Raw genomic sequence first — 25,096 nt, 5'->3', positions numbered from 1 at the left:
AAAGATTCAATTTCTGTTTCCAAGGATTTGTGAAGCCACAGAGAGAAACTGAAATTTCCTTCAAAGTTTAATTTTGCATGACCAAATATTAAGCAAAAATTTCACTATGCTGCCCCAGTGCATTTTTTGAGTTTAAAAAGGAAACTTAATTCACTTGGAGAAACTATAACCCTACTTTCTAACTTTCACTGAGTCTGTATGGTCAAACTTTTCCTAGGATATCATCATCATTCATTTTCTTCAGCTCATATACATAATGCATTAAGCTAACATTCCAGAAACTGAGAAATCCAAGTCATGATGAAACAGCTTCATCAATAAGCAACATCTATACTATTTAGAAGAACCCCTTCTATTCAATTTCAAAAGAACAATTAATTTCCTTTAAAAGCTGGGAGAGTCCTGCAATCTTTAGGAGCAGGGCTTGCTCACCTAAATAGGTGAGTTTGTTCTTTAAGAAGGAAAACTCGACATGACAATCCCAGCAGCATAAAACACTTCAACTACAATGCTACTGGGAAGTTGAAGTGCTTTGTGCTGCTGGGTAAGCCTCAAAGGAGAGAACTCTGGAATCAGTGAAAGAAGTTCAGAAAAAAATAGTATGTTTCAAGGACAAAGAAGATGTAAAATTATTTTCCTTCAGTAATAATCCCATCTCCTCCTGAATGATGAAAAGTTCAAGTTAAAATCAACTGAAAATCAACTGGTATGAATTTCTACATAAGTGTTACAAAAATCACTAAATCTACTCCTTAACTAAATGGATGGTCAGATCTACTAATGTGAAGTAATGTCAACTAATTTGAGAGTAAAGTTATCCTACCTTAACAAATTACTAGTTGATGCGCTAATTAAAATAAATAAATAAATAAATAAATAAATAAATAAATAAATAAAATAACCAGAAAGTAAAATAAGAATGGGGAGAGAAATCTAGCCACTTCTTACCACCTCTACCACTATAAGCCCTAAGAACCCAGCCACCATGATTTCTCATCTTGATTACTGCAATAGCCTCCTGATTGCTTCTCTTCTTCAAACTTTTCACCCTCCTACAGTTTCTTATCAAAAGTAACCAGAGTGCAGCTGCTAAAATCAAAGTCAGTTCATGTTACCCTGCTATTCAAAATCTCCAATAGCTTCTACTCTTACTCAGTGTTTCAGTCAAAATAATATTGACTATAATGATTTACAAGGATAAATTCCATCCATTTCCCAATTATCTCTAACTTCATCTCCTATTACTGTACCCATTCCCTCTGCTCCAAATACACTGGGCTTCTTCCTATTTCTCACAACTGCCACACATGCTCCCACCTCCGGGGCTGTGCACTGCTATTCCTCTGGCTGGAACAATCTTCTCCAGAAGACCGGCTTGCTCTCTTACATGCTTCAGGCCTTTGTTCAAATGTCAATTTCTCAGTGAGGCCTTACCTGGCCACTCTATTAAGAAGTGAAACACTGCCTTACTACTGGACACAAGTACTGCCTAATCCCCCTTCCTGTTTTATTTTTCTCCATAACATATAACACTATCTAGCACACTATATACATTTTATTTATTTATTGCATTTACTCTCTTCAACGAGAATATGATCCCCATAGAGGAAGAGATTTTTATATTCACTGCTGTATCCCAAGAACCTAGAAAAGCACTCTGCACAGAGTAGGCATGCAATACATATTTCGTATTTGTAGAACACATAAATGAGTAATATCCCCTAAAAAATCATAAAGTGAAAAGAGACTGCTTATAATATTAACAGTGAAAGTGTTAATTTATTTTAAATATAGATGGAAAAGATGGCCAGGCACAGTGGCTCATGCCTGTAATCCCAGCACTTTGGAAGGCCGAGGCTGGCAGATCACTTGAGGTCAGTTTGAGATCAGCCTGGCCAACAGAGTGAAACCCCCCCATCTTTACTAAAAATTAGCCAGGCGTGGTGGTGCACGCCTGCAGTCCCAGCTGCCTGGGAGGCTGAGGCAGGTTAATTGCTTGAAGACGGGAGGCAGAAGCTGCAGTGAGCTGAGATCATGCCACAGTACCATGGTACTGCAGCCTGGACGACGGAGCAAGACTATGTCTCAAAAAAAAAGTAGATGAAAAAGGCATTTTATTAGAATTCAAATATGTAGACTGACCTCTTCTAACATAATTTTTCCTAAACTAGAGATCAACGAAGGAAAGAAGACAACATTATCATCTTCTTTACTCATTTGACACTTAACTCAGGGATTACTCTGCCACAGATCTAACACTGTTATACCCACTGTGATATAGCTCTCGCAAATAAATTATGAGGGATGAAAAAGTGCTACATATGATTTTATATGATTAGTGGCCATTTCAATATTACTAGTATTAATGCCAATAATGGTAGTAGAGCGCTATCTCTGCATTTCTTCATGGTGCCAGGGCTTGTTTCTAGTAAATATATGTAAATAAAATTGTTTGTCTTTTACCATATCATGATAAAATGCCTATAAAGATTTTTAGCCAATACTGAAACTATACTTGGGATGGTCTGGCTTAAAATATAGGCTATGTGAGAAACACAAAATTTATTTGGGGAGACTCTGAGTGATGTCTCAAATAGGTGGTCAGCCTCCAGAAGAGCTAAAACTGAGGTGTTGCCAAGGTTCCTGTGCCTGCTAAATTGAAGAGCTCCTGGCACTAAAACAAACTGCTTTCAAATATAAGCCCCAAACTGCAGGTCAGAGCAGCAGACACTCCCTCTGCTGGTGGGCATCTGGGAATCACACTGTTTCCCACACAGCCACCTCTGGGGAGAGGTGCTACAGGGGGAACAGTAGTAGAAATATATTTATTTGACCAAGGTTTGTGATTCTTCTCAACAACAAAGAAAATGTCAACTCAACAGAACCGTGTTTCCTCTCAGCCTGTTTTCCCCTCTCTAACCTGCTGAACGTTACTCATTACTTCTTCTGCATGGCTCTGCTAGCATTTCTCTTTAGACCTGATTCTTTGCTTTTGAACCACTGACTCAAATCTTCATATTTTCCTCCTCTTTCTGCTGTCCTTTAAAAGTCAAAGGAACACTAAAATGTGTTGTTTTACAAAGGTCACCAAGAAAGGCCTGCCAATTATCTAATGGAATTAGGAAAAGATACCAAGCGAATCTTTCATATCATTTAGGCTACTGATCAGAAAAAATGTCACGTGAAGAACTCATCTACTCATTCACTTCTACCCATCAAGTGGAAACCTCATAGTTGAGAGACAGACTGATGAACTAGCCAGGAGAGAACAGTTACAAAGCTACTTACTAACAACCAGTTGTGAAACCTTGGGCAAGTCAATCTGGACTTTTGTTTTCTCAGAAGAATTCTAGTCTAAATGATCTCTAGAGATTCTTTCCATATCAAATATATTGTATATTCTAATTTGCTAAGATTCTAAAATGAGAGGTGGTAAAGCACTGTGGATAACAATATGGACTAAGAATGTCTGAGTACAAATCCCCACTCCAATATTTACTAGCTGTATGACATTAAACAAATTACTTGACCTCTCTTTACTTTCTTCTCCTCACAATTGGGATAATATTAGGTCCTAACTTATAGGGTTGTTATGAAGATTAAATATCATATCAATATATATATAAACTCATAAAACATTCCTATTACTATAATTTCATGGTAAGAAGTTCACACAATAGGCCGGGCGCAGTGGCTCACACCTGTAATCCCAGCACTTTGGGAGGTTGAGGCGGGTGGATCACCTACGGTCAGGAGTTTGAGACCAGCCTGACCAACATGGTGAAACCTCATCTCTACTAAAAATAGAAAAATTAGCTGGGCATGGTGGCGGGCACCTGTAATCCTAGCTACTCGGGAGGCTGGGGCATGAGAATTGATTGAACCCAGGAAGTGGGGGTTGCAGTGAGCCGAGATCGTGCCACTGCACTCCAACCTGGGCGACAGAGTGAGACATTGTCAAAAAAAAAAAAAAAAAAAAAAAAAAAATTCACGTATCAACCCAAAAAGACAATAGTGAAAATTCAGTATTTTCTGATGCCAAGATGCTATTAGGAACAAAAGCATACACCATAGGCTTACCTTTTTCTTACGATTTCCACTTTCGCGTTGTACTGCCTTCATTAGATGCACCAACCGATCTACAAATGTCTGTTGTGCAGCCAGCAAAGAACGCATAACTCTGACAGACTTATCACCCTGAAGGGTTCAAAGTGAGAAAAAATTAGTTCTATGTTGCGTAATGATCTGGATTTCTTTAACAGCATGGATAATCCTTATTCATATTTCTCACAGTTATAAACTTAAATAGAAAGCAAAACTGAAAAAGATTATCTTGATTCAAAAATAACAAGAAACCTCTTATCTTAGTTAAACACCACTAATCCATCCACAATCGAAAATTATCTGAGTCTTCAGCAAATACTGGTCTATCTACAACCGCATTTTTTTCCCACATAAACCATGTGACAAGATAGAATTCATTCATCCTAAAATACATTCACTCATTATTTGATTCAATAAATATCCGATGGCTTATGATGCAGAAATGTGCTAGACATATATACATGTATATGGCAGAAACAAAGATATAGATCTTCAAGGAACTAAAAATCAACTTTTAAAAAAAGAAAACTTCAAATAGCACCACAATATGTGCTTAAAATATAAGTCATAAAAACTAAATGCTATACGGTCCTATGTAGTGATTCCTAGTTCATAAAATATTATAAAATACATTTCTAATTTAATCTTCCCAATTACCCTGGTAAGGGAAGCTGGGTAAATGTTATCAACCTCATTTCAAAGATGAGGCAATTTAAACTTAAAGAAACTGAAATGTCTTCAAGGGTGACAAAGGCTGTAACAGAAACGAGATTAGAGGAGAGGACCAAAGGCTTATTTGCCAATCAGTTTGATGTTGAGAAGCTTTGGGAACGAATACAAAAGCTTAGTCTCAAAGTGTTTAATAAGATGTGATTTAAATTTTTAAAAGCATGAAACATCAAACAGATGAAAGATGCCATGAAATAGACTATTTCTGCGGCAAGCCACAGATTAATGTGTGGTAGCTTTCTTTTCGCTGCCCTTGCACCCTCTGCTGGCTAAACTGTGACACTGCTTTAAGAATCGAACACAGGAAAAATAAATCTCTTTTAAAAGCTGTTGAAAAGGCAAAAATACATTATATAAAAAGAATCTGCAATATGACCATTGCCAGATTTCTGGAAATGTACATAGCCTTGATAAGAAAGATACACAATAGAAAGGAAAATAAAAAAGCAAAGCTTTTTTTTAATTCCATGCACAGGTTTATTTCATTAAATTAGGGATCAAGAAAACTTCTGTAAAGGGTCAAAGAGTAAATATTTTAGGTCTTCTTGGCCATGCAGTTTTCATTCCAACTATTAAACTCCTATTGAGTACAAAAGTATCCATAGACAATATAAAAACAAATGAGTATGATTCTATTCCAATAAATTTATGAACACTAAAATTTGAATTCACATAATTTTCATGTATCACAAATTCTTCTTCTTCTTTTGATTTCTTTTCAACCGCTAAACCAGGCCAGGTATAGTGGCTCACGCCTGTAATGCCAGCACTTTGGGAGGCCGAGGCAGGTGCATCACCTGAGGTCAGGAGTTCCAGAATAGCCTGGCCCAACATGGCAAAACCCCGTCTCTACTAAAAATACAAAAATTAGCTGGGCATGGTAGCGGGCGCCTTTAATCTCAGCTATTCGGGAGGCTGAGGCAGGAGAATCTCTTGAACCCAGGAGGCAGAGGCTGCAGTGAGCTGAGATGGCACCACTGTACTCCGGCCTGGGTAACAGAGCAAGCCTCCATCTCAAAAAAATAAAAATAAAAATAAATATATAAAACCATTTTTAGCTCATGGGATGTTCCTAAACAGGCAACAGGCTGAATTTGGCCCATGTGCTGCAGTTTGCCAACCCTCACATTTAAGGGTTACCTTCAACAATGCTTGGCTGAATCTTCTCATTACGTTCAAGTACATCTCATGGGTCTTTGGATCTCTCTGCTGAGTATCTTGATCTTCACATTCCACTATCACATACCTTAAAAATAGTTTGAGCCATTCATGTGATGTGAAATGAAACTTAGATTCAGTTTGTAAATACTCATATCATTTCACTAAAACAGATTAATTTACATATGCAAAAATAATAAAATTGGAGTAATAAAACACATTTTATCATCACTTTTAAAAGTGAAAACTTAAAGAGGAACACATACAACCATCAATAAAAGGTAAACTAAGAGTGGTAATGCCTTAATTTGTGTAATATCCCAAATTTTCTAAAACTTTTGCCACCAAAACAAGCATTTTCTCCTATTTATGAGGTAGAGTATTAACATCCTCAGAAATCATCTAAGCTCACATATTTACTGAGTAACTCGAGAACAAAAACTATTATTTTCATAATCTGTGTAATACTTTGGTATTACATAAGACTCTCTTATTCTGAAAACCTCTCTGAAGCTATTCTTGTCACTTATATTTTCAAAAGATGAATAAAATTTTAAGTAATTTTTCCTTTCCCATCCAGTTTCCCGTTTTTCAAAGATCCATACATAATCTTTAACTTTCCAATTAAAAAACTATGGTTTTAAAGAGTAAAAGACATTTTAAATGTCTTCTTAACCCTCATCTGCTTATACAATTACAAAAATCATATAAGCAATGATCTGAATAAGACTTTATAGGTCTTCTAATCCAGTGTTTCTAAATGTTCCACTGGGAACAAACCAAAGCAAATAACAGGTTGGGCATGGTGGCTCACACCTATAATCCCAGTGTTTTGGGAGGCCTAGGAAGGAGGATCACTTGAGGTCAGGAGTTTGAGACCAGCCTCTACATTTAAAAAAAAATTAAATATAAGCCAAGTGTGGTGTCGCCGACTATAGTCCCAGCTACTAAGGAGGCTGAGGTGGGAAGATAGCTTGAGCCCAGGTGAAGCTGCAGTAAGCTATGATCATACCATTGCACTCCAGCTTGGGCAACAAAGGGAGATGATATCTCTCAAAGAGAAAAAAAAAAGTATCACAGCTTGATACACACAGCCACATATGCACACAGATGTATAAAACGGAAAAGTTTCACAAAGCAACATCCTGTGAGCAATATGTTAATATTTGCTATTCTGTTTATTTCATTTTTCTTTAAATACAAATGCTAGACTGTGAAACTTTAAATTACTTTCAGTGGATCATGATGATGTGTAGTTTGAAAACCATCAATCTCAATCAACTTGCTTGCTTCATCAATAGTGAAACTTAGAGGGGCTGTGTCTTGTCTATGGTGGTATGACTGATTGTAAAACTGAGATTGAAACCCAGGACTTTGGGCTCCCAGGTCAGACTTTTTTGATTTTACTAAGTTGACTTTCACACTGTTTTATCTTTAAAACACATGTGAAACTTTTCGACCTTCTTAACTGACAATGTTTCCCAAATCTCAAGTCACGGATGCTTATTATTATGCTTTCCACTATTTCTGGGAGAGTATACTCTGTATTCAGCCATTCAGATGGTCAACTTCATGAGAGCTGAGGGCTTACCTGTCTTGTTCTCCACTATATCTTCAGCACGTCCATGTCTAGCTCATAATAGATGCTCAACATATTATTAATACATTACTGTTGAATGAATAATTCCACTCTTGTGGATTTAGCTACTATCTCATTATTGATAATTTTCAAATATAAATACATATTCATTTTTTACATCTAAGGTCTAATCTTGAATTCCATTACATGACCTGCTTTCACATTCATGCACTCTAATTTTCAAGGACCAGATCCCCTTTTCAAGACACTGTTTGTCATTTCTAACTGAACACATGTAAAACCAAACTTATCACATTAAATTGAATTTTTTCTACCTCTATCGAAGGTACTAACAATATCCAAGGTATTTGGGCTAGGAATTCTCATGTAGCAGGGTTCACAAACTCCAAATTTTCTCAAAAGGCAGGCAGGAAACAAATGTTTGAATCACTTAAATAGAAGGAAAGACAGAGAAGTGGGGCTGCAGCCAAACCAGAGAACATAGCACTACCTCAAACTTTCCTTGGCACTCAGTTCAATTTGTGGTCCATGAATCTAAAGCCGAACATTAAAACAAAAAACAGCAGTTCTAAATGGTGAAACTGTCAATATGGTATTATTCAAATCCAAGCCATCCCCTTCTACCCTTCATTGTTAAAGTCCTTGATTATCTCCGTCATCTTAGGGTATTCAGCTTTTCCTGTGTTTATGCAGCAAACTTATTTCCAAATGAACATATAGCTGACCACAATGTAGGGGCTCACTGCTGTATCTTGCTCTTTCTGACCACCAAGTAAACACTATGGCTGCAGCCATTTCCTGTTATTGAAAATATATGTTGGCCGGGCGTGGTGGCTCATGCCTGTAATCCCAGCACTTTGGGAGGCCAAGGTGGGCGGATCATGAGGTCAGGAGATCGAGACCATCCTGGCTAACACGGTGAAACCCCGTCTCTACTATACTAAAAAAAATACAAAAAAATTAGCCGGGCACAGTGGCGGGTGCCTGTAGTCCCAGCTGCTCGGGAGGCTGAGGCAGAAGAATGGCGTGAACTCGTGAGGCAGAGCTTGCAGTGAGCCGAGATGGCACCACTGCACTCCAGCCTGGGCTACAGAGCAAGACTCCATCTCAAAAAAAAGAAAAAAAAAAGAAAAAAAATATGTTGATGCTCATAATAAGCATCAAGTATCAAACACCTCTCAAAAATCATTCAAGTCTGCCAGGTGTGGTGGTTCACACCTGCAATCCCAACACTTTGGGAGGCCGAGGCGGGTGAATCACTTGAGGTTGGGAGTTCAAGACTAGGCTGACCAACATGGAGAAACCTCGCCTCTACTAAAAATACAAAATTAGCCGGGCTTGGTGGCACATGCCTGTAATCCCAGCTATGTGGGAGGCTGAGGCAGGAGAATTGATTGAACCTGGGAGGCAGAGGTTGCAGTGAGCCAAGATCGCACCATTGCACTCCAGCCTGGGCAACAAGAATGAAACTTCATCTCCAAAAAAAAAAAAATCATTCAAGCCAAACATCTATTCAAACAAAAAGGCCACCTAAAAAAAGAAAAGTGACACTGTCATCTCCAAATATGAGAGACAAGGTTAGCTATCAAGACTAGAAGACCTAGATTTGAATCATTTCTGAGGTTTCTGTTCACATCAATAAACTAGATTCTAAAGCACTCTAAGGTATTTCTTTGAAAGCTGTCATCTTAAAGTAGGAATGCAAACAAAATTGTCCAGGTACCCATTGTAAGATGACATCAGTGGGCTACCTGTTTCCTGGCAATTTTATTTTGTGGCATAAATAACCTTTATTACCTTGAAAGGTCTTAAAAGTTATAGAAAACATGTCAAAGCAGCCAAAGTTTACTTTCAATTTCAACACCCTAGAATGACTATAAAAATAAAAAACTGCAACAATTTATAGATTCTGATGCCCATCATTTTACAAACTGGAGACTGTAACGCCCCTCTGTGGCTTAAAAGGTTGACACTATTCATTTTAAAAGGATTGTCTGCACAACTATAGGCCCCTAAGGATTTAGCTACAGCAAGAATCCTGTTTAAATCACCAGAAAGGGAACAAATGAAAAAAGGAAATTCAAGTGTTCAAAGGAAACAGCACAATTAAAATTTCTATTTTAATACATTTGTTATAATAGAGTAGGCTTAGAGAAGCATTTAAATTCTCACATTTTATTATTTTTATATGCTCAAAGGAAGAGAAGAATGATCATTTTAAACCAACTATTTGAAATTATTTCCCTTATTGTTACCTTACATTCACAAAAGCAGTGTTTATTAAAGGCAAGAGTCCACACATCAATAGCTTTTCTCCCCATGAGTATTTCTGAATATGTAATAGGCAGACTGTAAATATGGGAAAAACAATTACTCCTTAGGGAATGAATAGACACAGCATATGCTATTGATTCAATGAATCAGAGATATAGTGGGAAAACACAAATCAAATCTAAGTTTGATTGAATGTTTATAAGACTGGGAACTGGGGCTGTACTTTGCTTATAGGAAAAAAAAGTGTGCTCCTTATGAACAGAAGCAGCTGCTATGTTGGAAACTTCATCGAACAGATTTCCTACTGTTTGGCTGCTTTCAGAAAATTCTGCCTACTTGAAATAAGAGATCAAAGATTCTATCAAAACTCATTTCAAATTTAATAATGAAATCTAGTCTTCAATCAAACACAAAGAATATGTAACTTGAAAGCACCACATAATCAGTATATACACATATAGCTCTTACCATAGTGAATACTCTAGACTATAAATTCTGAGCCAGAGAAAAGTTTCTGTGAATATTGCAAGGAAACAAAAATATCTCTAAATGAATTCTTAGCAAATGGTTTTAAAAATATACAAAATTTTAATTTAAAAATACCTAAGAAGCTTTGAAATATTTACTCAAAAACTTAGAAACATACCCCACAAATATTTTTTCTCTTTACTTCCTTCTAAATATTTAGATTTTCATGAGGAAATATTTTTCCATAAGACCGGCGACAAGACATATCCTTAAATATTCAGATTGGAACACAGAGAACATTAGAGGTAAAAGGTGGCATTTAAAGGAAATAGTAGCAATTTGGCAATATGAGAATTTCTAAGTAAACCTTTCAAAGAAAGAATAGTGATTAACAATTAGTCAAAACCTCCTATATTTTCAAGGACATAATGAAATTTAACGTGAGGAAAATGTAGTTTTATGAATATTATATTAAACTGCTAAAGTAAAAGCAGGAAACTCTTTTTCTTCCCACTACAGAGGCCAACAGAAAAAAACAAACACAACCAAAAAAAAATAAACACAGGTTCCAAAGGGGGGAAAATCACTGATTTACTTAAGATTGTTGACAGTGGTTTTTCTTTGTTGTAAAGAGAACCATAAAGGCTTAAACTAAACAAATATTTATTGTTTATGTAAATCAAAAATTGTGTGTGTTAAAAGAGTGCTCCATAAAAAAGGATGAGTTCATGTCCTTTGTAGGGACATGGATGAAGCTGGAAACCATCACTCTGAGCAAACTGTCGCAAGGACAGAAAACCAAACACCACATGTTCTCACTCACAGGTGGGAATTGAACAATGAGAACACTTGGACACAGGGCGGGGAACATCACACACTGATGTCATGGGGTTGGGGATGGGGGCAGGGATAGCACTGGGAGAAATACCTAATGTTAATGATGAGTTACCGGGTGCAGCACACCAACATGGCACATGTATACATATGTAACAAACCTGCACGTTGTGCACATGTACCCTAAAACTTAAAGTACAATAAAAAAGAAAAAAGGAAAAAGAGTGCTCCAATTTAGTTACCTACTTCTTAAGTACAGGGGCAGTACCCAGCAGAGCATTACCTCTGGAGAGTGGGAGAATGAAGTTAAGGCTGGACTTGACCCACAAGGGCAGCTTCCCAAATCAGTCTTAAAACAAAATCGTATTTTGTATAATTTTCTCACAAAAAGCAAAATACCTCATCATTATTCAAAAGTACTGGTTCAGCATTTCTTAGCCAAAATGCTTAGAACCAGAAATGTTTTGGATTTCTAGTTTTTTTTGATTTTTGAATATTTGCATTATACTTAGCACCTTAAATCCAAAAATTCAAAATCTGAAATGCTCCAAAGAGCATTTCTTTTGCACCTCATGTCAATGATCATAGAGTTTTGGATTTTGGAGCATTTCAGATTTCAAATTTTTGGATTTGGTATGCTCAACCTGTAGTGAGCTTTTACAATGGACATCTACTAATTTGTAATTTGTTTAAGGCTATAAATTGAGCAGTAAGATTAGATTAGAAATCATTTAGACAGTAAAAAGCCTCATGCCAAGAAGTTTAAAAAGTGATATAAGTAGTTTTAAGGATTCTCCCAAAGGTAAAGAAGGCTGTAGGCAGGTCTTACCCACCTGGCTCTGCCCTTTGTTTGCTCCGTAAAGTTAGATGAAGCCCTCTTATCTAGTGTTTAATCCCAGTACTTTTTTTTTATTGAAGCAAAATATTTCTGATTGTGGCTTAAGCTACTTGCCTTTTTCTCTTCAGGATTCTGGGGCAAATAAAGGGCACCACGCTTCATATTAACTGTGCCTCAAGAAGTCAGCCACTCCGTGCCTTAGTTTCTCTCTTTCCTTCAAGTGACTCAGGACATTGTTTTAATGTGAAATAGAGATATTTATGCTTGCCCATTTAACGTCATAGAAACAAATGAGAAAAGGTAACTGAAAATACCCTGAAAATGGCAAAGCAGTAGATAAATGATTTAATCCTAGATCAGAGTCTATCAAGTTCAGCTACAGCAAGCCTCTGCCTCAGTTTCCTCATGTTTAAAATGCCATAAGGTAACTTTTAATTCCAACTTTTTCTTTTTAAATGATTCCAATGTTTTAGTAAATAATGTGAAAATATATACTCCTGAAGAACTGTGAAATATCATACTCAACTACTTTACATGCCAAACAGATATTAAACTGAAAGTACCCATTACCCTCCCCAGTTATATCCTAGCTCCTGGAAAGTTATATCCTTAGTGAAAGGGAGAGAAATGTTGATGCCAACAAGCATTTCCATGAACCCAGCTGTCAGGGAATACAGTTAGATATAAATACTATATCTAGACTTTTGATGATTGCTCATATCTTATTTTAAATCATCTTTGTGTTTATAGCATGAGAAAAAATAATTCTTAAGGGTAATAAGAAAATAAACAGAAAATTATTTTTACATACCAGTATAAATAATTAGCCAGTGTTGAGTTTTTGCAGGCTCTCGATATCAAGAAGGTACAGAGATCTTGCTGAAAGAATTAAAAGAAATGTATTATATATTATCATCTACTAGTAATGGGGGAAAATAAGTAAGTTTACATTTGCCTATCAGTTTTCATCTGTATATCTTATGTAATAGATCAGATTTTCTGCCATTTATCTATCCTTACATACATACATAAAACATATTTTAAATCAGAAAATATGCAAGTGGTTAGAATACCGCAGTTCAGAGGACTCCTTGTCCTCCTGGAGCTTCATATTGGTAGAGGAGAGAGACATTAAAAGAAATGGTCATAGAAATAATTTAGGTTGGGAGATTAGAAAAGGCAACAATGAAGACATGACATTCAGGCAAGACCAAAATGACACTGGAAAGCTCTAAGTTTGGCTTGTTCAAGGAATGCTAAGTAATGTAAATAAAATATAGTGAACACTGAAGAGACTGAAAAGATAGGCAAAGGTCAAAGTATGTGAGACCTTTAAGGTCACATTATTATTGAGTATGGATTTTATTTTAAAAGCAATGGATACCCAACAAAGGATCTTAAGAGGAGAGTGAGATGATGTGATTTACATTTTAGGAAAATGACTGGTTGTCCTGTGAAGTACAGACCTGAGATCAGTTAAGATGCTATTACGGTAGACTAGGAGAGTAAATAATGAGAGTGGAGATGGTGAAAAGGAGACAAATATAAGAAATATCTTGGAAGTATAATTAACAGGACCTGCTGGTGGAGAGGAAGTAGGAAGGAAAGAAAGGCATTAATAGTAACTCCCAAATTTCTGGATTGATTTGTTATGGCACAAACGGAGATTTCAGACAAAAAGCTGCCTATCTATAGAGTAAGAGGAAATAGTTGTATTTTGAAATATTAAGTTCAAAATGCCTGTCAGACATACAATGGAGATCAAATACATGTTTGAATAGATGAATCTGAAACTCAGGTGAAAGATCTGAGCTAGAAATGCAAATTTGAGTTTATTAACACAACCTAGGACAAGAGTATCAAGTGAGACTAGAAGAGGACCCTGAGGAACATTAAGATATCAAGGAGAGAGGAAAGTGCTGACAAATGAAACTGAGAAGAAATGGCAAGACAGATGAAGAGAAAAACAAGAGATATACAGTATCACCTAAACCATGAGAAGAGTTAGTTTTTCAAGAAGAAAGTTATTTACTTTGTTGAATACTCTGAAGAAGCTGAAAAGAATGTGCAACCAAAAGTATTAAGGTCATTTTGTAACTTAGCAAATTGGGTTTTAAGCAAGAGCCAGAATGATATGGACTAAAGGCTGGAAAGAAGGAAGAAAAGAGTATGTATAAACAACTCCTTTGAGAAGAGAAGTAAGAAAACAAGGTGCTGTTTCAAGAGATGTGGTTTCAAGGGACAGTTTTGTTTTTCTGAATTTTTAACATGGAAAATTCTAACACATACTTGAGTATTTCTATCAGGAAAAGAAAATAACACATCTTTGAAGAGAGCTATGTTTCTTCTGTGTAAGAAAACAGAAGGAAAGTATGGGGTAGGGATTCCTGTCTATAAAACCGGTGATGGGAAACAGACCATTCTTACCTAGTGGTTTCTATTGTTTCCATTAAGTATGAGGCAGAATTGTCATCTAGAGATTGGGAGGCGGGGCATGAAGAACAGAGTGGAAATGGTATGAAAAATCACTGCAGAGCAGGAAGATCAACACGTCTAGGGAAATGGAAGATGGCAGACAGCAGTGAGTGCTCATCTGAGGTTTGTGATCATGAATTTATAGTGACACCAACATGCTATGCTATGTGCTTTTCTTCAGCAATATTCAGGCATAGCGAAAGTAGGTAATTAATGAGGCTTATCAAGAGTTGAGATTTTTGCCAGGGGAACTGCAGGTACTAATAAAATAATAACTAAAATGACAGCCATGGGATAAAAGCTATGTTCAGAGAAAAGCAAACATTGAAGGGAGCTGATGAATAATGAAAGAGTAGGGATCAACAGATTAGAACTTTTAACACAGTAGGGGTCCTTTCTTAAGTAAAGTCCGAGTAATAAGAGGGTGTTGTTACAAAGTAGATGTGCCAATGCTTTCAGTAAGAATTTTATCTCCAGTTTTAAAGCTTAGGTGTACATTTTAAATATGCACCAAAAATCCAATTTAAAAAACTCCTCAATCAGGAAGCCATTATATAAAGCTGAGTCCATGAGTTTAATAGGCAGAATATAGGCCTAAAGTTTCTCTTTTGACTATCTGCCAAGAACATTATACTTTTGTACAGTGATGTATATATTTCAATAGCAAACACGTTTCATTTCATACTATGCCTTTTTGATAAAAAATTACTTACAGAACATAAAGAAAAGTTGAATTTAAAAAACTGTGAAACAGGAAGTATGTATTGTAAATGTTAAAACTCAATCTGTGTAAGCAATACTTTAAGGTTTTAAAACAATTTAAAGAAAAAAGTGCTTTATAAAAAAAGATCACATATTGTAGGTCACAGACATAAGAAGAAATGGTGAGGAAGGTGCAGGTATCCTTCAAGAAAAGTATCTCTAAATATTTACTGAGTGTATACAATAATAACAATAATATTATCAAATCTGAAGGAAGTTAAATAAGATGGGGTGGGGTGGAGGGAGAAGGATTTAGCCAATGACAAGCAAGAATATGTAATTTATATATATATAAGAAAGTATAGAAAGTACTAAATAAGATAGTGAAATCAGTCAAAATACAGCTACAACCACAATAAAAGCAAATGGGGCAAAAGTTCCAGTTATAAAACAGAGTGTTAAACTAGATTTAAAAACAAAATTTAGCTACATGATATTTACAAGGGACCTAAATATAAACATAAACCTAAAATATAAGGCTACAAAAAAATTCAAAGGAAAAGATAAACGCAACAAAATATTGAGAAGATAAACATGAACATTAATCAAGACAAAGCTCTATTAACATCAGACAAAACAGGTTTTAAGATGAAAAGCATTATTAGATATCAAGAGGGTTACCAAACAGTGATAAAGATGCAATTTATTTACTTAATTGAAGAGCTTCAAAATATTTAAAGCAAACACTAACAGAACTACAAGAAGAAATTAATAATTCTACCATCATACAGGGGAATTTTGCCCTAATTCTTTCACAGATAAAGCAGAAAAAAATGTTAGGACAGAGTACAGATTTCAATAACACAATAAGCTTGCTCTAGTAACTTATGTATAATGCTATACCCAACAGCTGGGAAATACAACTTCTTCTCATGACCCATGGAATTCATAAAATATGAGCAGATTTGGGGAATAATTGAGTTTCTGTCTCCTTTCAAACATTTGGCCAGACACGTATAATGTTCTCCTGAAACTCCAAGAATAAAACGAGGAAGGACATAAGATACTGCTCAGGTGTCAAAAAGGAGACAGGAATGTTGATATCTCAAGTTGTGATAAGAAGAGAGGTAATTCAGCTTGATTGTGTATTAACATAAAGGTGACAATGGCTTGTACAATACACTCTATGGGAATAGGGGAAGGGATAGGGGAAGATAGAAATATCACTCAAAATGATTGCCACTCTTTTCTGGATACCTGAACCCTCTAAAAAACTATTCAGCTGACAAAAAGTTAAATGGCTTAATCATTGAATAACAACAGATAGGTTCATCAATCACAAGAGAAATATCAGAAATATATACAAACTATCATTTTTAGCCTAAACATTTTGAGTGATGGGGGAGTGTAAATCAATATTCTGAACATCGTTTTCAGAATCCAATCACTTCACAGCATCTAGAATGTAAATCACCCTTTGTTCAAGCTACCAATATGGAAAACTCATTCGGACTAATGGCCTACAAGCCCTACACTACTGATATCCAATTCTCTCCTGGATCCAATCTTCTGCCAGGTTCTCTTTTGCTCACTCTCCCACAAACCAGGCACACTAGTTTCTGGTGTTCTTCAAACATATACACTTAAACTCTGGTCTTAGGACCTCTATACTTGCTACTCCCTCTATCTGAAATGCTCTTCCCCAGATAGCCATATGGTTGTTCTCTCACCTGCTTCACTTTTAGAGGGATGTTACTTTTTTAGTAACAAGTAACTTGTAAGAGCTTTCTAGAACATAACCTCTATGAAGGCAAACATTGTAACTGTCTTGTTTTCTGCTGCATCAACCCCAGCATGTAGAACAGTTCCCATACATGTTAAGAGCTCAAAAAATATATGTGAATGAATGAATGACTGAATCAATGAATCAATATCTTAGCTCTGAAAGGGAAAACTTAGACTGTAGCAGATTGGCTTCTTAAAGGGCTTATCTAAGGATTCTATGATTCTGTAACTTAAAAATTCTTTTTTCAGTTGAATATTTTGTTATACCGAAAGATATGCAAACATACAAACTTTAATCAATAGCTAATAGTTAAAAGATTCATTCAGCCATTAACAATTACTCCTAAAATCTGACTAAAAGTAATATATATACACACACTGAAAAATCACTTGAACTGTTCTAATAATAAAACATGTGTTACTTGTTTTCAACATCAGAGATATTAATGATTTCTTTTAAATTAGAAGTCTTATAGACAAATTAAAAAATATGTACTACATCAGCTTCTGCAATGCACTTTCCAAAGTACTTTTCAGAGTAGCACTAGTCTAACAGGCCTGTTTTATCTCAAAAATGTGTCTACTTATATGTATAGTTAAAAAGTTGCTTAGTGTATTAACTCTAATATCAAAGTTATACATTTCTACGATGTAATCACAAGCACTGACAACAATTACAGTAAGGTTCATAAACACATTGACAGTAAATATTCTAGGTTTCCCTAATAAAATATTTAAGCCTAGTTTATTTTCATATTGCATATGAATCCATTTATATGCCCAAAGCACCAATAAAATGACTCAAATTGAGGACTATCTGGTACTTTATGCTGAGGGGGAAAAGTTATAAACGTGCATCATAAAGTAAGTTATTTAATAAAGTTGTAATATTTAGTTATTTAATCAAAATTGAGGTTTTAAAGACAAGTATAAAATGTTCATGCAGTAGGATCTCTCCTATAGGAAGCTGGAAAAGCTTTGTACTCACTTCCAGATTTTCGCCATCTGGAACTTCTTTTGTTTTTGATGCAGGAGGAGGTGAAGAGACTGAAGGAAGGGGGCTGGTTATAATTTGGGAGCTGAAAAAGTAATAAAAGAGATCACTGAGATGTAAAATACTCTGTCCATAAGAGAACGCACAATTTTTTATGGAACAGTTCACTTCAATTGTGTCTAGTTAATGCAACACTTCCTAAAGTGTGTTCTGTGCAACACTAGAGTCACATTGTACTCTGGAAAAAGCGCATGGTCAAAGATTATGGGTAATGCCTCTTGGGAGATTTATGTGCAAGTCTGCATATTAAAGGTTTGGGTAAGTGCTGTTTGTTTGTTTGTTTGTTTGTTTGTTTAAGCCCATTTAGCTTTAAACTAGCATTTCCCAAACATATCTGGCCAAGATTCTCTCTTTTTAAAAATAAAATAGAGCTTTTATCTTCTTAAAAACATAACAGAGCTTAAAAAAAGAACTAAAAAAGAAACACACAAAATTAGTGACTAGTAGACCGTAAGTTGGAAAAGACTAGGTTACAGTTTTCACCCCATCATAAAATTCTGAATAGACTTTTACTTACAAAACGTTCTACATGGCATAGGGAAGAAAGTAAATAAGCATGACTTGAGACTGAAGACCTCCAATATAGAGTGAGATAAAATATAAAGAGCATCTTCCCTTAAAAATAGAAAAATATAAAGTAACCTGGGAAAGAAAAATTATTTTCCTCTTTTTCGGTTCTTCTCCAAATAAAACACACAACATAAAGCATAGCATAACCATAATCATAAAGAAAAATTCAAAAATCCAATCTTGAGCTCATGTAATAATTTAAATGACTGGACTGATTCAGGAAGTCTAAAATTTAGACCTGGTTTTGTCAATAACAAACCTAATGATCTTCACAAAACCATTTCCTATCACTAAGGCTAAGATTTTTCACCCAATGGTTACTACTATTTGCAAATTTTAAGATTCTCTGAAAAGCAAAAAGTAGAAAAAATGTGGGATTTGGAGTCAACTCTACCATTTGCAAGATACATAAAAGTTTGGGCAATTTACTTGAAGTCCATCTCTAAATTAGGGACAGGAATACGTACCTCAGAGGACAGTTGTAACACGATAATGTGTGTGGACACGTGGTACAGTGTCAGATATACATTTGGGAACTCCTAATTTTTATATTGTTAATAGCTAACTTTTAATTCAAATAATATGCTATTATTTTCAGTTTAACTACTAAAGAGGTGTAAACAGTTAACAAAAAATGCAACTTTTTATTAAACTATTTGAGCTCACTAGCATGCTCCGTCCTTCTATTTCATCCATTTCTTTTTTTTTTTTTTTTTTTTTTTTGAGACGGAGTCTCGCTCTGTCGCCCAGGCTGGAGCGCACTGGTGCAATCTCAGCTTGCTACACCCTCTACCTCCCGGGTGTCACCATGTTGGCCAGGCTGGTTTTGAACTTCTGACTCAAGTGATCTGCACACCTCAGCCTTTAAAGTGCTAGGATTACAAGCATGAGCCACCACACCTGCTCCTTCTATTTCATTTTAACATAAATAAGTAATAGTAGCTAAGACTTACTAAGCACTATGTATTAGACAGTTTCCTATGAGTGTTAATTCACTTAATGATTAAACAACCCTTAAAGATGAGTTAATATTGCTATCACCACTCTTAAGAAACCGGAGACACATAGAGAATATGTAATTTATGCAAGTTTATACAGCTAGTAAGTGGCAGAGTCAAGATTTTTAACTCAGGTATTCAGCCTTGATAGCTTGCAAAACACTATTCCCTAATATAGTAATCTGTGTGCTGTGAGTACACATGCAATATTCACTAGTAAAACTTCAAAATTAGTAACACTAGCATTTGGTACATCTAAGGAAAGGAAAAGAGAAAACAATTTGAAAAGGGAAAAATTAACAAACTAGAAAATATGTCCTCCCTGGATATCCATACCTATCTATTTCTGCAGAATTTATTCCAGAATTTGACACATTTTCTGACACTGAACTCTGACTATCCTTCTTGGTAGGTTCCAATCCATTCTTTATATCATCAAAATTTTCATATTTGAGAGCCTGGACCAATTGTAATAGGTACATCAACAAATCCTGGAAAACAAAAAAAAGTAAAGTAATATTAGGAAAAGAATGCAAAATTATTACAGACATAATTTATTCCTAAATATCAAGTAAACATTTTACTTTTATCTATCACTTTTCAGCTGTATTACTTTTGGCACGTCACCAAATTACTTAACTTCTCTGTGCCCCACAGCCCCTTCATCTTTAAAATGGACATCATAATATAAACCTTAGAGAAGAGCATGAGGGTTAAATTAGTAAATAAAAGAAAGTCACAGTATAGTGTCCGGCACAGACTAAGTGGCCAGTAAATGACGTGTTTTAGGTAGTAGTTTCAAAAAAAAAAAAAAAAAAAGTGGGAAGGATTCAAGATGCTTTGCATAAAACTAAGAAATTATAGAAGGATCCTTTTTTTCAGTAATGGATCAGAAGAGTGCATTCTATGTTTAATATTACACAAGAAATTCCAAATTTTCAAGTTTTCAAAGCACTTCTGTTTAATGACTACTACTGGTTAGAATCTTTAAAAATCATCTGTTTTCTTTTTTCCTGAAAGCTCAAGTTTTAGAGAATTTGGATTGCTTCTTAAATGAAAGATCCTGTAAAACAGACATTTAAACAGTTGATTAAGAGACATGCTTTCTATTCCTGCCAACTACCAAGAGATTTGAACAAAACAAATTGCTAAGACTAAATTTTCCATAAGTGACAATCAATGAGATAACTTGGACTAAAAAGGTGTCAGTCAACAAAGTAGCTTTCACTTTACTGAGTTTTCCCTTAATAATAATAAAACTCTTTAATGTTTAGGATGGAAATGCTTCCAGTATTTCTCTATAAAGGTTGTCTTGACATACTTGTCCTCTTCACAAGTATGTACTTTTTAAAATTTTACTTTTAAAAATAACTAAAAAGTGAAGAAAATTGCAAAGCTCAAAAAATTTTTAAATGTACGTATTATCTTCCAATTCTAATTGTCATTCACCCTGTTAGACACTTGAAACTCATAATCAGAAAATTCTGAGACTTTGGGACTACCAACTCAACTTCAGTCTCCTCTTTAAGCTCACAAACCAGGTTAAGTCTCCTGTAAATATTTGATGGTCCACACTTTCCTATTTGTAACAACTATAGCACCTGTAATAACTTACTCTTGGTTTTTCCACTATTTTGTAAACCAGGAGGACAGAGACCACCTGCCAGCAACCCATATTTCCTTATTTAATACTATAGGCATAACTCATTTTATTGTACCTTGCACACATTGCATTTTTTTTTTTTTTTTACAGAATGAAGGTTTGTAGCAACCCTGCACCCAAGCAGTCTATTGGCATCATTTTTCCAACAGCATGCATTCACTCCATGTCTTTGTGTCACACTGTAGTTATTCACATAATATTTCAAACTTTTTCATTATTATTTTATCTGTTATGGTGATCTGTGATCAGTGATCTTTGATGTTACTATTGTAACCAGGGGTGCCACAAAGCATACCCATATAGGATGGCACACTTAATCAATTAATGTTGAATGTGTTCTGACTAATCCAACAACCAGCCGTTTCCCTGTCTCTCTCCCTCTCCTAGGGCTTCCCTATTCCAAGACACAGTAATACTGCAATGAGGCCAATTAATAAACCTACAGTGCACAATAAGTGTTCAAGTAAAAGGAAAAGATGCATGTCTCTCACTTTAAATCAAAAGCTAGAAATGATTAAGCTTAGTGAAGAAGGCACAGGAAAAGCCAAGATAGGTTGAAAGCTAAGTCTCTCATACTGAGCAGCCAAGGTACGAATGCAAAGGAAAAGTTCTTGAAGGATATTAAAAATGCCATTCCAGGGAACCACAAATGAAAAGAAAGGTAAACACCCTTATTGCTGATATAGAAGTTTTGGTGGTCTGGGTAGATCAAACTAGCCACAACATTCCCATGGGTGAAAGCCCAATCCAGAGCAAGGCCCTAATTCTCTCCATTTCTATAAAAGCTGAGAAAGGTGAGGAAACTGCAAAAGAAAAGTTGGAAGTTAAAAGAGGTTTGTTCATGAGATTTAAGGACAGAAGTCATTTCCATAACATAAAAGCACAAAGCAAAGCAACAAGTACTGATGTAGAAACTGCAACAAGTTATTGATGCAGGTGACTATACTACACCACAAAGTTTCAGTGCAGATGAAACAGCCTTGTTTTAGAATAAGACACCATCTAAGACTCTCACAACCATAGACTGACTCTCTTGGTAAGGGTCTAACGTAGGCAGTGACTTTAAGTTGAAGCCACTGCTCATTCGTCATTTCAGAAGTCCTAGGGCCCTTAAGAATTACGCTACATCTACATTGCCTGTGCTCTATAAACGGAAGAACAAAGCCTGAATGACATCACATCTGTTTAGAGCATGGTTTATGAATATTTAAGCCCACTGTTGAGACCCACTGTTCAGAAAAGAAGATTTCAAAATATTACTGCTCATAGACAATGTACCTGATCATCCAAGAGCTCCGATGGAGATGCAGAAGTTGAATGCCATTTACATTCCTGCTAACACAACATCCATTCTACTGCCCAAAAATCAAGAAGTCATTTCGACTTTCAAGTCTTATTATTTAAGAAACACATTTTGTGAGATCATAGCTTCCATAGACAGTGATTCCTGTAATGGATCTGGGCAAAATAAATTGAAAAGCTTCTGGAAAGGATTCATCATTCTAGATGTCATTAAGAACATTTGAGCTTCATGGGGGAAGGTCAAAATAGCAAGATTAACAGGAGTTTGGAAGAAGTTGATTCTAACTTTCTTGGCTAACTTTGAGGGGCTGACGACTTCAGTGCCTGTAATCCCAGCACTTTGGGAGGCCGAGGTGGGTGGATCACCCGAAGTCAGGAGTTCAAGGCCAGCCTGGCTAACATGGCGAAACCCTGTCTCTACTAAAAATACAAAAATTAGGTGGGCGCAGTGGCATACGCCTGTAATCTCAGCTACTCGGGAGGCTGAGGCAGGAGACTTGCTTGAACCCAGGAGGCAGAGGTTGCAGTAAGCCAAGATCATGCCACTGCACTCCAGCCTGGGCAACAGAAGGAGACTCCATCTCAACAACAACAAAAAAGACTTCAGTGGAGGAAGTAAATGCAGAAGTCACGGAAATAGCAAAAAAACTAGAATTAGAGGTGCAGCCTGAACATGTGACTGAATTGCTGCAATCTCATGCTAAAACTTGAACAGATGAAGAGTTGCTTCTTATGGATGAGCAGCAAAGAGTAGTTTCTTGAGATGCGATCTATGCTTGGTGAAGATGCTGTGAACATTGTTGAAATGACAACAAAAGATTCAAAATACTCCATAAACATAGTTGTTAAAGCAGTGACAGTATTTGAGAGGGAGGACTGACTTCAATTTTGAAAGAAGTTCTACTGTGGAAAAAATGCTAACAAGCAGCATTGCATGCTGCAGACAAATCTTTTGTGAAAAAAAGAGTCAATGGGTGTGGCAAAGTTTACGTTCGTTTTATTTTAGGAAACTGCCACAGGTAACCCAACCTTCTGCAACCATCACCCTGATCATTCAGTTGTCATAAACATCAAGGCAAGACCCTTGACTACCAAAAAGACTACAACTTGCTAAGGGCTCAGATGATTGTTAAAATTTTTAGCAATATTTTAAAAAAAGATATGTACATTGCTTTTCTAGACATAATGCTTACATTATGTAAGCATTACATAATGTACATTACATAATGTAAGCATTACATAATGTACATTACATAATGTAAGCATTACATAATGTACATTACATAATGTAAGCATTACATAATGTACATTACATAATGTAAGCATTACATAATGTACATTACATAATGTAGTCTACATAATGTACATTACATAATGTAGTCTACATACTTAGACTACAGTATAATTTACTATATAAACATACAGCAAAATTATATTTATAAATTTTACATGTACTAGGAAACCAAAAAATTCATATGACTCACTTTGTGACATTTGCTTTATTGCAGAGGTCTGGATCAAACCTGCAGTATCTCTGAGGTATGACTGTATATTTCTCTTTTGTTCAGAATTTGTATCTCACACCAAATAATTTTTAAAAAGGTCATTAGGCAAACACTAACAAAGAGTAATACATATGACTTCATCATAAATATAAATTAAATGGAAGATTATGTGGCTTATTAATTCTTGTTCAAATATGTCAATGTCAGGAGTCAGGGAAATCAAGTCTCTCTATAGTGTTGTTTCTAAAACCCACTTTTTAATTGGAGCAATAAACATCTGATTTTCTATTATCATAGTTGAGATTCATGGCATCCAATAACTATACATATAATTACATGTTGTTTCCTAAGGAAAAAAGTATTATATAACAGAAAATTAAACAATATGTTTAATGGCAGGTATCCCTCTTTGGAGGTATAAGTAATTCAGTTTCACTGCCAGCCTTCATTCGGAGTGCTGCTCAATCTATTACCTGTGTGCTTTCCTAATTACAGAAAAGAGTTAACCATATAACATAAAAAAGGCTGCGGTATTAAATTCCCCAGGAAGGGGAAATTCAGTAGAAAACTTTTCTAAGTCACTTATCATCATCTGATTTCTTGGTCATTACATATTCTATATTCAAACTATACTTTCCTTCATTTGTATGAAAATGAATTAACTTCAATAGTAAGTACAGAGTCTGTTTTCTCATTATATACTCATGTCTTGAAAAATATAAAAGTCCTCCAAGCATGAAGGACATAAGCATTGGAGTAAAACAAAGCAAAAAAGAAAAAAAAAACCAGGCTTCCATCTCAGGCAATTCTGTAAATACTTCCCAAGAGCTATGAAATTTTTACTAGATAGTGATCACCATTTTTCTCAAGAGTGAGTTAATTCTAATGCTTCAAAGTGCAAATGTGAAGTCCCATATCAAAATCACTTAGTGACTTCCCATTTCTTATTGAATTAAGAATAACTCTCCATAGAGGCATTTTCAGTTAGAGACATGGGTTCCGATTTTGCCTCTCAATGGCTACTACATATATCCCAC

The 25,096-nt window shown here is 35.6% G+C and overlaps 1 protein-coding gene across 5 annotated transcripts in view, besides 1 other annotated feature; it reads right to left on the bottom strand.

Moving 5' to 3' along the window:
- The window catches only part of PIK3C3 (phosphatidylinositol 3-kinase catalytic subunit type 3), a 132,597-nt gene that overhangs the window by 54,309 nt on the left and 53,192 nt on the right, over positions 1 to 25,096 (bottom strand). For 4 of the 5 annotated variants that reach the window (NM_002647.4, NM_001308020.2, XM_047437549.1 and 1 more), the window contains 5 exons: positions 19,926 to 20,080; positions 17,956 to 18,046; positions 12,817 to 12,884; positions 5,974 to 6,079; positions 4,081 to 4,197 (listed from right to left, as the gene is read on the bottom strand). In NM_002647.4, the coding sequence (NP_002638.2) occupies positions 4,081 to 4,197; positions 5,974 to 6,079; positions 12,817 to 12,884; positions 17,956 to 18,046; positions 19,926 to 20,080 (537 nt within the window). Of the gene's footprint in view, positions 1 to 4,080; positions 4,198 to 5,973; positions 6,080 to 12,120; positions 12,321 to 12,816; positions 12,885 to 17,955; positions 18,047 to 19,925; positions 20,081 to 25,096 lie in introns of those variants that run through there. The other variant, XM_047437551.1, reaches the window with a different exon arrangement.
- Positions 22,050 to 22,099: an enhancer, noted in NCBI's record as "active region_13248". NCBI's record gives its function as "activates an Ori minimal core promoter by ATAC-STARR-seq in GM12878 lymphoblastoid cells {active_cell/tissue: GM12878}" and the evidence as "EXISTENCE:reporter gene assay evidence [ECO:0000049][PMID:35858748]".

Source organism: Homo sapiens, chromosome 18, assembly GCF_000001405.40.
Source record: "Homo sapiens chromosome 18, GRCh38.p14 Primary Assembly".
Taxonomy (NCBI): domain Eukaryota; kingdom Metazoa; phylum Chordata; class Mammalia; order Primates; family Hominidae; genus Homo; species Homo sapiens.
Note: the sequence above shows the minus strand (reverse complement) of the source record. Positions and strands in the feature narration are given on the sequence as shown.